The sequence below is a fragment of the Homo sapiens genome, chromosome 3, assembly GCF_000001405.40.
Source record: "Homo sapiens chromosome 3, GRCh38.p14 Primary Assembly".
In the NCBI taxonomy this organism is placed as follows: Eukaryota; Metazoa; Chordata; class Mammalia; order Primates; family Hominidae; genus Homo; species Homo sapiens.
In genome coordinates, this window is record NC_000003.12 from 172,755,462 (window position 1) to 172,773,535 (window position 18,074).

At 34.6% G+C, this 18,074-nt stretch overlaps 1 protein-coding gene and 1 non-coding gene across 49 annotated transcripts in view; one reads left to right on the forward strand and one right to left on the reverse strand.

The window, feature by feature from the left end:
- The window catches only part of ECT2 (epithelial cell transforming 2), a 78,540-nt gene that overhangs the window by 4,736 nt on the left and 55,730 nt on the right, over window positions 1-18,074 (forward strand). For 16 of the 48 annotated variants that reach the window (XM_047447621.1, XM_047447622.1, XM_006713524.5 and 13 more), the window contains 10 exons: window positions 22-114; window positions 1,522-1,704; window positions 3,519-3,608; window positions 4,695-4,802; window positions 6,149-6,222; window positions 6,955-7,085; window positions 7,230-7,345; window positions 7,449-7,511; window positions 8,817-9,039; window positions 13,546-13,682. In XM_047447621.1, the coding sequence (XP_047303577.1) occupies window positions 22-114; window positions 1,522-1,704; window positions 3,519-3,608; window positions 4,695-4,802; window positions 6,149-6,222; window positions 6,955-7,085; window positions 7,230-7,345; window positions 7,449-7,511; window positions 8,817-9,039; window positions 13,546-13,682 (1,218 nt within the window). The remainder of the gene's footprint in view (window positions 1-21; window positions 115-1,521; window positions 1,705-3,518; window positions 3,609-4,694; window positions 4,803-6,148; window positions 6,223-6,954; window positions 7,086-7,229; window positions 7,346-7,448; window positions 7,512-8,816; window positions 9,040-13,545; window positions 13,683-18,074) is intronic. The other 32 variants (XM_047447633.1, XM_047447635.1, XM_047447632.1 and 29 more) reach the window with 3 other exon arrangements.
- LOC124900555 (small nucleolar RNA SNORA72) lies at window positions 15,816-15,944 on the reverse strand. Its single transcript, XR_007096302.1, has one exon. It is a non-coding gene; the product is annotated as a small nucleolar RNA SNORA72 (small nucleolar RNA).

The following is an 18,074-nucleotide window of genomic DNA, read 5'->3' on the forward strand; positions in this document are numbered from 1 at the left end:
ACTTAAGTCTCTTTTCCACAGACTATTAAAATAATGGAAGTCCCTGTTATAAAGATAAAAGAAAGTTGTCCTGGAAAATCGGATGAAAAATTAATAAAAAGTGTTATTAATATGGTAGGTCAAAGTAACTCATTGCATGTGGCATGCTGCACTTCCCTTGATTGTATTATTCTACTTTCTGGTGATTGGAATTAGGCACAAGGTGTATTGTGTGCAATCTGAAGCTTAATGAATAGAAACTGTTTTATACTTTTTAACTCCTTAGCTTCTTTTTTCTCATTCATTTTATATTTAGTCTAAATTCTTGCTGTATTTCCAAAATTATAAATCACGGTAATTTATAATCAGGGAATTTGCCTCAGCATACGAAATAATCTAATTCTGGAATCCAGCTGTTTTAGTTTGCTAGGGCTGCCATAACAAAATACCACATAGTTAATTGCTTAAACAGTAGAAATTTCTTTTCTCACAGTTCTGGAGGCTAGAAGTCCAAGATTAAGGTGTGTGTAGGTTTAGTTTCTCTTGAGGCCTCTCGCCTTGGCTTGCAGTGTCCTTTTGCTGTCCTCACATGGCCTTTCTTCTGTGTGTCCTTGCATCCCTGGTGTTTCCTCTTATTGGGACACCAGGTTGGATTAGGGCCCACCCCTATTATCTCATTTAACCTTAATTACCTCTTTAAAGTCCTTATCGCCAAATATAGTCACACTCTAAGGACTTCATTCTTCATTCTAGGTTAGGGCTTCAACATGAATTTTGGGGGTACATAATTTAGCACATCACACTAGCCTTGCAAATAAAATTCAAATAATTTACTGACCCATTTTGAGTTAAAAAAAAATTTTTTTTTTAATTTAACACGAGTTACAAGAGTTATATAGGTACTTTAGTATCTTCATTATTTTTCGTGGATGTATAAAGTGTTTACTGTAAGTAACTTGCCTTTTTATATCCTACATTTGCCATGCTGCAACTGCTACATATTGCACATCTTTCTCATATATCTTACATATCTGCTAAAATGATTATGCTGATTTTCCTTTCTGTAAGTATTAAGTGCTATAGTATTATTTTCCTATTTTTCTGAAGATAGTTAATTTGTACAATAAGAACTTTATGTATGGTATCATTTTCTTGGTCAGTAGTGGATATCTTTCTAATGCATCTTGATATCAAAATGCATGTACTTAAAAACTTTAGCATTCTAATTTTATGGAACTTATGCATACTTGATGATTTATGACTAATAAGTAATAAGTCAGAATTATGCCTTTATAATACTGATCTTTAAAATTTAAGAACTTAATTTGAATGGAGATATGTATATGTAAAAATGTAAGTACGTAAAGAAATATGGTTGTTCATTAAGTGTAATGCTGATTATTGTGTGATAGAAACTTATTTTCTACAAATATAAACATGTTAAAGTTGATATTGAATTGATTGTTAAGCCTTATTTAGAGAGACAGATGGATTATTTGATATATAAATAATTTTTATTTCTGCTAACTATATGATGAAAAGGACATTAAAGTGGGCTTTGTAAAGATGGAGTCAGTGGAAGAATTTGAAGGTTTGGATTCTCCGGAATTTGAAAATGTATTTGTAGTCACGGACTTTCAGGATTCTGTCTTTAATGACCTCTACAAGGCTGATTGTAGAGTTATTGGACCACCAGTTGTATTAAATTGTTCACAAAAAGGAGAGGTAAGCATATACATTTATTATGACTTTTCAAGTTAAAATTTTTATTAATGAATTTTAATTAGCAAAAAATTTATTTGGAAAAATCTCATTGATTGCTGAGAGCAAAATATTTAGAATAGGAATAATAGTGGCTATTCTAATGTGGTCCTTTAATTCCTCCATTTTAAACTTAGTGGTGAAAAGCTAAGGCCTTTGAAAGTTAAATAATGATAACTGTACATATGCATATACACAGACAAATACATAGTCCTTTTTTTTTTTTTTTTTTTGAGACGGAGTCTTGCTCTGTGCCCAGGCTGGAGTGCAGTGGCACGATCTCAGCTCACTGCAAGCTCCGCCTCCTGGGTTCACGCCATTCTCCTGCCTCAGCCTCCCCAGTAGCTGGGACTACAGGTGCCCGCCACCATGCTCAGCTACTTTGTTGTATTTTTAGTAGAGATGGCGTTTCACCATGTTAGCCAGGATGGTCTTGATCTCCTGACCTCGTGATCCACCCGCTTCGGACTCTCAAAGTTCTGGGATTACAGGCGTGAGCCACTGCGCCTGGCGTATACACTATCAATACCACAATGTCTTAGAGAAGATTACTTGCTTAAACTTGGGTTCCAGAAATTCATACATATACATAAACTTTTATTTTTCTCAACACAGAACAGATACCACGGTTCCATTTTTATCAGTTACTGTATAACTTAAAATTCAAAAATTATTTTAGCTTTTTGTATTTATTTATTTATTTAATAAATAAATACACGATCTCTGCTCACTGCAACCTCTGCTTTCCCGGGTTCAAGCGATTCTACTGCCTCAGCCTCTCAAGTAGCTGGGACTGCAGGTGCATGCCACCACGCCTGGCTAAGTTTTTTCTATTTTTAGTAGAGACAGGATTTCACCATGTTGGCCAGGCTGGTCTCGAACTCTTGACCTCACGTTATCTTCCTGCCTCTGCCTCCCAAAGTGTTGAGATTACAGGCATGAGCCACCGTGCCCCGCTTCTTTTTGTTTTTAAACAGCATTTCAATATGAGTCGTATGAGAGTTAGTCCCTATTTGGTTTTGTTGCTGTCTTGGCATTCTTAAGCTTGCCTTGTTTACTTAAAATTGCTTAGGTCTTTGTACTTCTATTGTTACACATGTTAGTAATAATAAGCACATGTTAACCTTTAATTCTCTTACATTTTGATTTGGAGTGGTTGGTTTCAAAACCCAAATAAACTTTAAAAGGCCAAATTTTGAAAAATAATCTTATATAATGATGAAAATCAAATTTATTCTTTTATTATTTTTAAACCGTTCTCTTTTATACACACACACACACACAGACACACACACACACAACCGTTGGGTAAATTATTTACTGAATATCACCATTTATTAGCTTAAAGATTAGAATTATATTTGGTTTAAGTGTGTGTATTATATTTACTCAGTGTTTATTATAAAATGCCTCTGACCTGTTTTAATGACATTAATTAGAATCATCTATAGTAGTGTATGGAGTCTGAAAACTTTGCTTATAGTCAGTACTTCATGTCTGTCAGAGTGCATTTAATATTTGTTTAATTTGCTGAGAGTAAAGTGTGTTTAGATTATGTATATTGCATATGATTAAGGAATCGGGAAATATTTTTATTGGGAAACTTGCAATCTGTCGTTTTGCTGTTTTTTTGTTGCATATTGAAAAAATGCCAGTAAATCTTTGGATTGGGAAAGTTGAATGGCAAGAGGGGAAATGAAATATATTTAGCTTGAGAAAGTTGTGTTGTATTTTCTACTAAAGAGAAAGCTCACATTTAAAATTGTTGTATCCTTCAGCCTTTGCCATTTTCATGTCGCCCGTTGTATTGTACAAGTATGATGAATCTAGTACTATGCTTTACTGGATTTAGGAAAAAAGAAGAACTAGTAAGTATTACGAAACAAATTCAAAGCGTATTTTTTACAGCAAAATAAATTAAAATTGGCTTTTTTTTCTTTTTAGTATTATGGTTTTATTTTTAAAATATTGAAGGATAACTTATTATGGCTATACCAGATTTTAAATTTTCTGAAGAAACAAATCCTGAAGAGCCTTATAAAGAGACCAGTGTTTTGTCTAGGCTGGCTGATGTGAATTAATAGAAAGATTTCATAGCAATTCTGTTTGACTGTCTTGTTACCATATTGGCTACGTTGGTTATTTAAAGTTTTTGTTTATACATTGCAATTTCTTATTATGCAAGTTCAGCCTGAAAGTATTCTGTTGCCCTATAGAATTCATAGAAAGTTCCTTTTTTATTTTTATTTTATTTTTTTTGAGACAAGTCTTGCTCTGTCACCCAGGCTGGAGTGCAGTGGCGCAATCTCGGCTCACTGCAAACTCCGCTTCCCAGGTTCACACCATTCTCTTGCCTCAGCCTCCCGAGGAGCTGGGACTACAGGCGCCCGCCACCACGCCTGGCTAATTTTTTTTTGTATTTTTAGTAGAGATGGGGTTTCACCGTGTTAGCCAGGATGGTCTTGATCTCCTGACCTCGTGATCCGCTTGCCTCGGCCTCCCAAAGTGCTGGGATTACATGCGTGAGCCACCGCGCCCGGCCAGAAAGTTCTTTCTTTGGTTCACAATACTTTGTTGTTGGAACTGATGGGTATTACTCTGATTTTGTGGGAACAGTCTTGATGTGATAAAACTTGGTATTTTTTTAAAAAAACCAATATATTTACACAGTATGGTATTAAAAAGCAATATATTTAGGCCATAGGAAAGGCGGTTGTTTAACTTACATTTGTGTGAAATCTTTACTAATCCCACCTCTATAATTTTGCCTGTGTTAATAGGCAAACTAATCTTTTTTATACTTACTTTGACATAAAATTTAATAGCTTTATAAAAATCCCGTATGTATTTTATAAATAGAAAGTATTTAGCAAATGCTAAATGTGGGGTAAACATAGTTTAAAATTTTGTTCAAATTAACCATAAAGTCAGTGTTGCTTAATTTTTCTTTTGAGGTCAGGTTGGTGACATTGGTCCATCACATGGGTGGAGTTATTCGAAAAGACTTTAATTCAAAAGTTACACATTTGGTGGCAAATTGTACACAAGGAGAAAAATTCAGGGTATGTAAACTTGGGTATTTTTGTGTATTTCAATACAGCATTATTTTGGCATGGGTTTAATAATAGCAGTCTTTTATCTATTTCTTTCACAATTAAAGAAGAGAAACTCAATTTTTGCTATGAATATATTTAGTAAAAAATTTTAAATCATAAGAGTGGTTAAATTTTCTTTCTTTTCTTTTCTTTTCTTTTTTTTTAAATAGAGATGGGGTGTTGCTCTGTTACCCAGGCTGCTTTCGAACTCCTGGGCTTAAGTGATCCTCCTGCCTTGGCCTCCCAAAGTGTTGAGATTACATACGTGAGCCACCAGGCCTGGCCGAGTGGTTAAGTTTTAAGTAGGCAATGGAACTTGAGTGAGGTGTTGAAAGATGACTAGGATCGTGGGGGTTGGTAGATGAATAACATTGTAGGAATTGTGAAAGTAGGGAATTTACTCTTGTCTAAGTGCCTTTTTTTTTTTTTTTTTTTTTTTTTTGAGACTGAGTCTCTCTCTGTCACCCAGGCTGGAGTGCAGTGGTGCCATCTCGGCTCACTGCAAGCTCCGCCTCCTGGGTTCACGCCATTCTCCTGCCTCAGCCTCCCGAGTAGCTGGGACTACAGGTGCGCACCACCATGCCCGGCTAATTTTTGTAGTTTTCATAGAGACAGGGTTTCACCATATTGGCCAGGGTGGTCTCAAACTCCCGACCTCAGGTGATCTGCCTGCCTCGGACTCCCAAAGTGGTGGGATTACAGGCATGAGCCACTGTGCCTGGCTGTCTAAGTGCCCTTCATAAGAACAGAGCTCTGCTCTTATAAAGTGGTTCTAAGATTTAACTTGTGAATATTATAATAGGAGAAAATACTCTCACTAGGATTGAATCTTAGTTTAAGATTATAGTTGAATGTCTTAGCAAGAGTTTATCATTTTTTCTTAGTCTCCCTTAGTGTATTTGTGTAGCAAATGGTAATTTTAGTGTACTCTTCAATTTACCCTAAATATTTCAACTCATATCTAAGGTTTTAGTGACTTAGTCGGATGTCTTCTTCTGTAGTGCCATCTTGAGGGTCATACTTTCAAGGAAGTAAACGTGAAGAAAGGAGAAATAGAAATTTAATAAAGATGAACTTCAGAGATATATTTATTTAAAATAAGGAAACAGTTCGGACACCATGGAACTTGTTTTGAAGTTATTTTACCCTAACTTGTATGATTGGAAGATAGTTTGTCTGTTAATTTTTAAATTATTTTGTTACAAAGCAGATAGTGATCTAAAACTGCAAAAAATTAAGTATGTTAACTGTTTAGAACTTCCTTGAATGCAGTTATTTAAGGAGAAAATTCACTGTAATGTTTATATTTTTAGGTTGCTGTGAGTCTAGGTACTCCAATTATGAAGCCAGAATGGATTTATAAAGCTTGGGAAAGGCGGAATGAACAGTAAGTGTTTAGAAACTCAGTAGTTCATTATGTAAATTAAACATTCTGGTTTAAAGATAAATCCATGTGCTGAAAAAAGTAATTTCATAGATATAAAAACTGAATTCAGTCTGAGTAGCTTGAGGAATAAAATCTAGGGAGAACAAGTTATAAAAAATTATAAAAAATTAAAAATTGAAAGATATCTTTGATATCTTTGGATTTTACCTTGTGAAGTAATTTTGGCTATTATAAACATTCTGAAATTATTAGATAATAGCTAAATAATTCTGTGTATTTGGATTTTGTTACATATTTTTAAAATTTTGTGTTATCTGGTTACATTTTAATTGGTGCTTGAAATTTATTGCCTTGTTTTGCTTAGTTTTCCAAGCGCATGATTTCTTGCTGTGGCACTTCATGAATTAAGATTTCATGAAAGTTATCATTATTTTAGATTTCATGAAAGCCTTGGAACACAGTACATATAAATCTTCAAATAATAGAGAAAAAATTTGAATCTCTTGTAAAGCTTATCTGTGATCACATTTTGTCAGAAGTTACTTTTGGGATGACAGGACACATCATTTTTTTAAACTGAAGTTTTTGTGAGCATTTCAGGACCAAATATTAAATAGTTTCAATAGATAGATTATGCCAAGACCTTGAAAATTACTGTAGGTTTGTAAATTGATATACCTAACACTTGAATTTAAGTTAAACTGGTTTTGGAAGAGTGTATTTTGTTTTTAGGGATTTCTATGCAGCAGTTGATGACTTTAGAAATGAATTTAAAGTTCCTCCATTTCAAGATTGTATTTTAAGTTTCCTGGGATTTTCAGATGAAGAGAAAACCAATATGGAAGAAATGACTGAAATGCAAGGTAAAATTTAGCATAATGTAAAAGTTATATCTATTTTAGTCCCTAGGCCTGCTTAATCACTTCCTGGTCAATATACCTCTTAAAAAATTTGAGTTTGGAAATAAGTAGCTTGGCTTATTTATGCTTATGTGCATTCCTTTTTAGGAGGTAAATATTTACCGCTTGGAGATGAAAGATGCACTCACCTTGTAGTTGAAGAGAATATAGTAAAAGATCTTCCCTTTGAACCTTCAAAGAAACTTTATGTTGTCAAGCAAGAGGCAAGTAATTCTAGAATGAGGTTGGTTTTTAAAAACACTATTAATAGCTTCTCTGATAAAATAAATGTAAACTGTTTATTAAAATGTTTTTTCTCTCACCTAGTGGTTCTGGGGAAGCATTCAAATGGATGCCCGAGCTGGAGAAACTATGTATTTATATGAAAAGGTATGCTTTTAACCCCTTACTTATTTGTTCTGTGAGCTTGATTGTTTGAAAATAACACTTTTCTGTCCAGAAGGTTTAGAAGCATGTTTAGGAATTTCAGAATGATTAAAACAATTGGGATATCAAGTTATCTTAGTCTATGTAGATTTAAGTGGAACTATTCAATGTAATGTGTATTATTTTAACCTAATATATGTTGTTCTGTGCGAATTCTTGGTGATAACATTACGAACAAGAACATCTCTATCTTCAGAAACTTAGACTTTTAATGGAAAGATAGATTTGTACGTAGTTAACGATGGGGAATGATGTGTGCCACAACTGAGTAATGTATTTTAGGTAGCCTCGCTCTGAGAGACTCAGGAGGGAATAAAAAGGTGAAATAAATGTTGACCCAACTTACTAGGCCAACTAGGTAAGGACATTCGTTAGAACCCCAATTGGGAGAGGGTATGAAAGCTTTGAGAGTACATTAAAATAACAAGTAGTTTAGTATGGCTTTACAGTGTGGGAAGGAAGGCCAACAGATAAAACTTAATGGATAGATAGAATCAAGAAGTTTTTAATACATTAATGAGCTTGGATATTATCCTATAACTATTGGGAGCCATTGAAGAAGAGTAAGGGGAGAGACGTCATTAAAAAGATGAGTTTGATAGTAGAATATCGTTAAGGAAAATCTAGTGTTTATGGTGAATCTTGGTGAAGAGTAGTATCACTCACCAAAATGACAAAGTTATGGAAGTAGTCTTTAAGGGAAGATTTACTTCAGTTTAGGATTTAATAACTTTGTGTGGAATATTGAAGATGAGTTGTTTCTGTAAAATCTATATAGTACCATATTGTGTTCTCTTCAGAGTCTTTGAAATGTGAAGTTCTTAAAGTTTAAAAAGTGTGCTTTAGATTTAGGGAGAGAACTCTTAAAAATCAAGTGTTACTCAGCACATATTGGAAAGCATTGTGTCCAGGCACTGTGCTAGGGATACAGCGAACAGACTGTGAATGGCCCCTGCCTTCTTGGAGTTGATGAGCTAATGAAGGAGCAGGTAGTAAACAAGTTTACAGATGAAAATATAATAGTGATAGTGGCTATGAAGAAAAATGAGGTGCTTGAGGTTAGACAATTACAGTCGTCTCTTGACTATTATGTTTTATGAAACTTTTGAATTGCCTGGTAGAGTGTAGGGTTATAAAATTATTGTGCAAAATCCAGATTCTGTCAGACTTGTAAATATATTTTTCTCTTGTTCCTGTCTCAGTAAAGAACCATGGAAGTAAATTGAGCTTGTGTGCTTTTGATTACAGGCAAATACTCCTGAGCTCAAGAAATCAGTGTCAATGCTTTCTCTAAATACCCCTAACAGCAATCGCAAACGACGTCGTTTAAAAGAAACACTTGCTCAGCTTTCAAGAGAGACAGACGTGTCACCATTTCCACCCCGTAAGCGCCCATCAGCTGAGCATTCCCTTTCCATAGGGTCACTCCTAGATATCTCCAACACACCAGAGTCTAGCATTAACTATGGAGGTAATTCACATTCTTAAAAACTTGTCTTTAAAGTTTAGTGGAATGGAATAATTGTTAGAATTTAGATAAATCCCTGATATAGTGAATATGGAAGTCTTTGCCTTTAATTACCTTTGTTCTAGCTGTAGAGAAAAGACACATGAATAGTTAAGCTTAATAATGTTGCAATTTAATGACTGCTTACTACATGCTAAATGCTTTATACGTTTTGTGTGTTTATAATAGATTTTATTATTCCTGTTTTACAGATGACTAAACTGAGATACAGAGAAGTTAAGTAATTTCTCCAGGGTCATATAACTAGAGAGTGATAGTGCTGTTCAAAAAGCAAACAAAGTCACAGGGGAGGTCACATAAATTATGGAGAAAATAGGTAGAATGAAGTCAGAGGAGGGTGAGTTCACTTTGTGCTGAACTGATACAGAAAGGCTCCTATAATTCTTCCTTGGTTATCAGTATTTCCCTTTCTTTTTGATTTTTAGTCTGTAAACAAATGTGTTTTCTAGATTTAAGAAACAAAAAAAATCAAAATCTCCTCCGGACCTCATGACACTTTTCACTTATTGTCCCATTTTTCTGTTTGCTTTCACATCAGCATACTTAAAAGAATTACTTTGATCTATTGTCTCATTTCCTTGATTCTCGTTGTCCTTTCAACGCATTCCAACTGATCTGCAGTCCTTGTTGGGGAGACAGTTTTTATGCATTCAACACATGAATAGCTACTCCTTTATGGACACAATTTTTTTTCTTTGCTTCTGTGATATTACTTACTCATTTCTCATTCTCCTTGGCCTAACTTCTTTTTTTCAATTCTAAATGTTGTATGTTCCTCCTGAGTCATTGTTTCTTCTCTATTGTACTCTCCCTAAATTATCGTAGTAAAATCTATGGTTTTGAAAAGCATTTGTATGCTGATGACTCCCAAATTTGTCCTCTTCCCTGTCAAGCTACCTACTTTGTACTTCCTTGTCCATGTCTAATAGATATCTTAAACCTAAGATAACCAAATTAGACCTTTGGATTCTGCCACTCTTAATTCCTCTGTTCCTTTGCTCCTCTTCATCAGTCTTTTCTGTAAAAAGGATCTCTCTTAGATGATTGCAGTAGTCTCCTAAATAGTCTCTCCCTTTTAATTTGTGCCTTTCTATATGCAACACTTAGAAAAATCTTTAAAAATATATAAATTAGATGATGCCACTCCTCTGCTTTAAAATCACTTAATGGCTTTCTATTACTGTAGCTTTTAAGTCCCTATGTAATCTTGCCCTCATCTGCCTAATCTCATGTGGTATTATGCTCTCTAATAATGCCTGTACTCTCTAAGCTTCAGTCATACCATCTTTGTTATTCTTCAAATATTTTTAGTACATCCATACCTCAGGACTTTGTTACTTTCTCTGCCTCAAGGAAATCTGCGTGGATTGTCTGTAAAGTTAAATCCCTCCACTCCTTTCTGCCAATCCTGTGACCTGGTAGTTGTTTTTAGTAGTAGTTCTTACGATAGAAATTACAGTACTTGTTTACTTCTTTATTATTTGATTTGCTTCAAATAAGTAATCTTTAAGAGAAAATGAACCTTGTCTGTCTTATTCTGTGTTTATCCTCAGACCCTAGTATAAAGTGGGTATTCACTAAATACTTAAGGGAAGAACTGAAAGTGAATTCAAGGTTGGCCCAGAAATTTGAAATGAATTTGAGAATATAAAGAGGAGCAAATATACAGATAATAGCATACAAACTGAGTTTTTAGAGAATAATGGATAGATCAGTTTGCTTGGAATGTGGAGGAATAAAAGTTAAAAATGTTAATTGAGGCCTAATATTAGGTCACTTTCAAATAAGACTGTAATATCTGAACTGTATATTGTCATCAACAAGGAATTTTAGAAACTCCTTGAGCAGCAGAGAAATTGATTGAATAGATAATTCATAGAGAGTTGTTCTGAAGAATGATTAGAAGGAAGGCAGTTTGGAGACAGTCAGACCATGATGTAATCTATTACAATCGCTTCGGCCATGAAATAATAAGGTGCTGAACCAGAGTATGTGGTGGTTGGAAAGAAAAGTAAGAAGCACTGGAGAAATATTGGTAGAATAAAGCAATAGGGAGGAAATAAAAAGAGATGAAGGCAAATTACTAATTTAAATGAAAGAAATGTTGCCTTGGCATGGATAGGAAATTTATATTTTGGAGGGAGGTAGTGAAGTTTTAGAGAAATCCAAGTTACATTAAGGCAGAACTATCCAGTAAGCATTTGGAAAAGTTGAACCAGCTTGAGAGGGAGATCATGATTAGATCTGAGAATGTACTAGTTTTATAATCATAATGGACAATAGCATGGGATGGTAAGAGGAGAACATAAAGGACTGAAACTTGAATATGCATTTTAGGAGACAAGAGAACAAAATGAACCACCGAAGTAAACAGATGTGACAACTATACTGATATTTTAGGTGCTCTGTAAAATAGATTCCCCAGTTTGTAGGTCATTGTCTAGACACAGAATAATTAAATTAGATCAGTGCATCTCAATTTTTTCCCACTGAAGTATATTCTGTAATGGCAGAGGCTTCTGGGTCTGGTGAGTGTAGCCTAAAATAATGTTTGACAAGTGGGAAATTTTTTGAGATTCTGTTTTTTTTAAAAAGCACTCAGGGGCTGGGCGCGGTGGCCCACGCCTGTAATCCCAGCACTTTGGGAGGTTGAGGAGGGCAGATCACGAGTTCAGGAGTTCGAGACCAGCCTGACCAACATGGTGAAACCCCATCTCTACTAAAAATACAAAAATCAGCAGGGTGTGGTGGTGTGCGCCTGTAATCCCAGCTACTCAGGAGACTGAGGCAGGAGAATCACTTGAACCCGGGAAGTGGACGTTGCAGTGAGCCGAGATGGCACCACTGCACTCCAGCCTGGGGGACAGAGTGAGTCTCCATCTCCAAAAAAAAGCACTCAGAACTCCATAGTACATAATTGTTTTCATATAAAAGCATTTAAAATTGTTTATCATTGAGTAAAATTGATGTGCTGGAAATATATATTATGGTTCTTTGTCACCTATTTCTATTTTATGTCATACATTCCTTTTCCTGTTGAAAAACTTGCTATTAGGTGCTTCTATATATAATGTTAAAGTATTCTAACCATATTAACAGTAAGAAAACAGATTTTAAGCTTTTATACATTAAAAAGATGTATATATATCTATAGATATGTGTATAGATTTTTTTTTTGAGACGGAGTCTTGCTTGGTCGCCAGGCTGGAGTGTGGTGGCGTGGGAGTGTGGTGGCAGGATCTAGGCTCACTGCAACCTCCACCTCCTGGGTTCAAGAGATTCTCCTGCCTCAGCCTCCTGAGTAGCTGGGATTACAGGCATGTACCACCACGCCTAGCTAATTTTTGTATTTTTAGTAGAGATGAGGTTTCACCATGTTGGCCAGGCTGGCCTCGAACTCCTGACCTCAAGTGATCTGTCCGCCTTGGCCTCCCAAAGCGTTGGGATTACAGGAGTGAGCCACCGTGCCTGGCCGCAAATTTTTTTCTTTCATGAAATGTATATGAAATACACTGTTGCATCCTCCTTCCACTCTGTACTGGTTGTTTTATATTACGTTAAGACAGTTTGAACTACCAAAGAATTTTCAGTTAATATTGGGTTTTTTGTGGGGGGGCTTCTTTTTGACATAAGTATATGACAAGTTTTCGTTATTGTAATTGTGTAATCACAACAACCTTTTCCTCTTTACATGTAAGTATTTTTACATCTCCCTTTCTGTTTTTTTATTTTAGCTGTACAAAGATTCCTATACCTTTTACCCAGATTTCCCAAAGGGACATATTCTGCCATGTTTGCTTTAGCATTCATTCAGTCAAAATCTCTCTTTTTCTAAACACAGATATAATACACACGTGCACATGTATTTTTAATATCTATACTGTTTGAGAGTAAGCTGCAGACATGATGTGCCTTTAGCTTTAAGTACTTAAATGTCTATTTCCTATGATAGAGACATATTTCTTAAATAACTACATTACTTACTACATTATTATAGTAAGGAAATTAACATTAATACTGTGAACTGTTTTGTAGACTTCAGATTTCATCAGTTATCCTAAAAAGTCTTAATGTCCTTTTTAGCAAAAGGAAAAAGTGTTTTTCTTTTTGATCTATGATCCAATCCAGGATACACATTTGTTAGGTTGTCTCTCTCTAGTCTTCTCTAACCTGGAACAGTTCCTTAGTCTTTCTTTGTTTTTAATAACCTTGACGTTTTTGAAGAGTACAGGCTGTTTAGTGGAATGCCTACCAACTGGAGTCAGTGATATTTTTGACCGTTATTTTTTTCTGGCCTTAGCCTATGAGAAAAAAATTTTTTATTGGAAATCTGTATGGTGGTACATTTATAAGAGTAGGTTTTCTCTCCTTTTTATCTTGTTAAGTCTACATAATGTTTGGTATTTATATTTGGCTTCCATTAAATCTTTCCACCTTTTAACGTTTCAGACACCCCAAAGTCTTGTACTAAGTCTTCTAAAAGCTCCACTCCAGTTCCTTCAAAGCAGTCAGCAAGGTGGCAAGTTGCAAAAGAGCTTTATCAAACTGAAAGTAATTATGTTAATATATTGGCAACAATTATTCAGGTAAGTATGAGTTTGATTGAAAAATGATTTCTGTTCCAGTGTTCCTAAGTAAAAAAATCTAGGTGATATTGTTTCTTACGAGAAAATTATATAAACATAGTATTTGAACATGGATGTTAAAAATGGAATTGTGTGACAAAAACTGCTGTTAGGGAAATGTCATAACTGTAGTATTACCTTTTATTTATCCAGAAATAGGACCATTTTTAATAATTACTTTAAAGAGAACAGAACTCAGTAGATGATCTCAGGAGTATCAAGTTTAATTCAGAATTTTGCAGGTTCCTTGTCAAGATACTGCATTTATATTTGGAAGTGATAGATAACTTTTTCTGAAAGTATGGGTTCTGAGAGTCATTGCTTTGTTTTTAGTACTGTATATATGTGAAAAACATCGCCTATACAATAGCAATGAAGCATAACAGTGTTGATATAAGTAATTTTTTTCAGTAATCATTTCATGTGACACATGAAATATGCAGTGGTTAGTCATAAATAGATGTTAACTCATTGCTTACCAATATTAAAATGTACTATAAAGTTATTTCTGAAGAAAACAGCTCTAATGAATCCTTGTAGGATGAGATTATAGAAGATATTAAGGAATAAACTGAAATTTAAGATTCCAAAAGACAATAATAGGCCATTATGTTGGTATCTGTAGAAAGAAGGAAGAAATCTGTTTTAGGTAATAAAAGAGATAGGTTGACATACTGTTAAGAAAATGAAGTTGGTAACACCAAGCTTATCTTTCAATAGAAAACAATAGGGAGTTTCTGATTTGGGTTTAGTTTTTAATTGACTTTTATTTGAATTCATAAAATAACTCATTAAGGGCCAATTTAATAGCCTTTAAGTTGCTTGTACCATTGATAAAATACATGGATAAGACATGGAAAGACTTCTTACTTGATGGTCATAGAGAAGTTATTTTTCATGGTTAATTATTTGTTTAGGAGCAGTCAGGGTTTTATGAGGTTCTTTGCTGTATTAGCTTTATTTTAAGTCACCTTTGCTCTTCCTTCTCAAGGGAAATCACTCTAGATAGATGAGTTTCTTGTTGAAGTTTTTATAATGATTCAAAATGTGGTTGAGTAGCAAAAAATCCCTTTGGCATATACTATTCATGTACTTTAGTAGCATTTATTGCTTAGAAATGTAAATTCTTTCAAGCCATGGTAAAATGCATTGAAGTTTCAGAATTCTAATTTGCATATCAATTAAATTCACTAAAACTCCTTTTAAAAAATCTCACGAAATTATTAGACTGGAGAAAGTTTCATACCACTTTGCTTAGTATAAACTCATCAAAGGTTTGTTTAAAAGATTGTGGCCTAAATTCATGATAGTATTCTCTCCTTAAAAAAATTTTTTTTTATACAGATGGGGTCTTGCTATGTTGCCCAGGCTGGTCTCAAACTTCTGTGCTCAAGTGATTCTCCTGCCTCAGCCTCCCAAAGTGTTGTAATTACAGGCCTGAGCCACTGCACCCAGCCCATGATAATATTCTCATTAAAGAGCTTTGTTTTAGGACTGATATTTTCCTTTTTGGGGGGATAGGATTTGGAATAACTTAATTATAGCTTATCCTCAAAATTAAATGAATATCCAGAGGCTTCTTTATTCCACATACTACTTGGATGCCTAATTAATATAAAGTACTGTGCTAAGTGTTAAAGATTTTTTTTTTTAAAGAACTTTATACTAGAAGAGGAGATAAAACATACACAATTATAATTACCAAATGGAAGGTATCAGCATAATAAAGGAGTTAAGGTATTAGATTTGTAAAGTGAGAGTTTTACTACTCGTTTAGTTTAGGGAAGGTATTGGCCTGGAATTTTCTGTGTGTTGTGCATCAGAAAAAGCTTCATACAGAAGGTAATGATCGAAGTGAACTTTTTTTTCTAGAAAAATACAGTAATTTCACAGTTTATTTAATAGCAGCTGGTACACATGAAATTTCCTTCCTTTGGTAATGCCTTTTTTTGACAGAAGTTTCCAAATTAGCACTGATTATTTGCAAAAGTTATTAGATTAGCTGTACTATCATTTTCCTTAAAGATGACTAAAGGTAACATAGAATCACAGCCCTTAGATGGTCATACAAAATGATCATATAAGTCAGAGCTGGTTTATCACCAGCATTTATAAAAACAGACCTAGGGAAAGGTAAGTCTGAGACACACGCGTGGTCTTAATATAGTGAATGTTTAGCTTGTCGTTACTATTATAAAATCAAAACGGTGAGTATATTCATAATGAAGTGAATTTTAAAGTATGAATATGATTGGTACAAGTAGAGGATATAGATGAGAAGTGTCTTTGAGACCGAGTAAACAATACAAGTGATCATTCTGTATTATCAATAGCAAGGGTGTAGTAGGCATATGGATACAGTGACAGTTGAGATGAGATGGCCTATACCAATCTAGAGAAGGCCTTTGAGTGGTGTGCTATATTATCTAAGCTATAGAATAATTTTTTTATGAGACGAGAGATCAATAATATCTGACTTGCATTTCAGAAAGATAACTTGGTTCACTTTGAAGGAGGAATTCAAGAGGGGAAATTGGGGAATCAATGATAATTTAGAGGCTATTTCAGCAGTTGGGAGAGATTTTGAAGATCTGAACTTTTTAGGATAGTATCAGTGTTGATAAGAGGATAGATTTGAGAAATATTGGAAAAATAGAATCTTTCATTGTGGTTTCAGTTTTCATTTTCGTAATGACTAATGATGTTGAACATATTGTCTTCATTTGACATCTGTATATCTTTTTTGTTGAAATAACTGTTCGTGTTTTTTGCCCACTTTTAAATTGGGTTGTTTCCTTCTGAGTTTTGAGAATTCTTTCTTTAAAATTTTTGAGATAGGGTCTCACTCTGTTGCCCAGGCTGGAGTGCAGTGGTGCAATCTTGATTTGGCTCACTGCAGCCTCTGCCTTCTGGGTTCAAGTGATTCTCCCACCTCAGCCTCCCGAGCACTTGGGACTACAGGCATGTGCCACCACACCCAGCTCATTTTTGTATCTTTTGGTAGAGATGGGGTTTCACCATGTTGGCCAGGCTGGGAGAATTATTATTTTTTTTGAGACTGAGTCTTGCTCTGTCGCCCAGGCTGGAGTGCAGAGCGCCTCCCAAGTTCACCCCATTCTCCCACCTCAGCCTCCCGAGTAGCTGGGACTACAGGCACCCGCCACCACGCCTGGCTAATTTTGTTTTTGTAATTTTAGTAGAGATGGGGTTTCACCATCTTAGGCAGAATGATCTTGATCTCCTGACCTCGCGATCCGCCCACCTCGGCCTCTCACAGTGCTGGGATTACATGCATGAGCCACTGTGCCCGGCCGAGAATTCTTTATATATTGTGGATACTAGTCCTTTGTCAAACATGACTTGCAAATGCTTTTTTGTCATTCATAGCGTATTTTTTAAATTCTCTCGTGTCTTTTGCTGAAGAAAAGTAAATTTTTATTCAAGTCTAATTTAACAGTTTTTTTCATTCATAGATTGTGATATCATATATGAGAACTCTTTACCTAAGTTTAAGTCATGAAGATTTTCTCTTCTGTTTTCTTCTAAAAGTTTTATAGTTTTAAGTTTTTTGTTTATGTCCGTGACCCATTTTGAGTTAATTTTTGTATAAAGTGTTATATTTAGGCTGTGATTCATTTTTTGCTTATGGCAGATGGTATTGTAATACCGTTTGTTGAAAGACTATCCTTCTGCATTGAATTGCTTTTGGACCTTTGCCTAAAATTACTTGACCATATTTGCATGAGTTTGTTTCTGAATTATCTGTTTTATTGATCTATGTATGTTTCTCCCCTCATGAATACCCATACAGTCTAGAACACCACAGCTTTGTAGTAAGAAGCTTCTTTGCCTTTCCATATAAATTTTTAGAATCAGGTTTTCTATATCTGCCAGAAGCCCTGGAACTTTGATTGGCACTAAATTTATAAATCAATTTGAGGGAGAATTGACATTCTTACTGTGTTGATTCTTTCAATCCATGACCATATGTCTACATTTATTTAGGTTGTCTTTGATTTCTTTCATCAGTATACTGTAGTTTTTAGCATCATGAACATATATTTATACTTAAGTATTTTATTTTTTTATTGTGATACTATTTACATTATATTTTCCATTTGTAAATTACTGGTATATAGAAGTAAAATTGACTTGTGTCTGTGCATGCATATGCATGCACTGACCTTGTGTCTTATGGCCTTGCCAAACTCATTGTTAGTTCTTAGTTTTTTTCTTTTACTTTTTAGATTGATACAAGCAGAAACATAGATACAAACAGATCTTCTAGCTTCAAATCCAGTCTTTCCCCCAAGCCAAGCTTCTACACTAACAATTTTAAAACATTTAGCACAT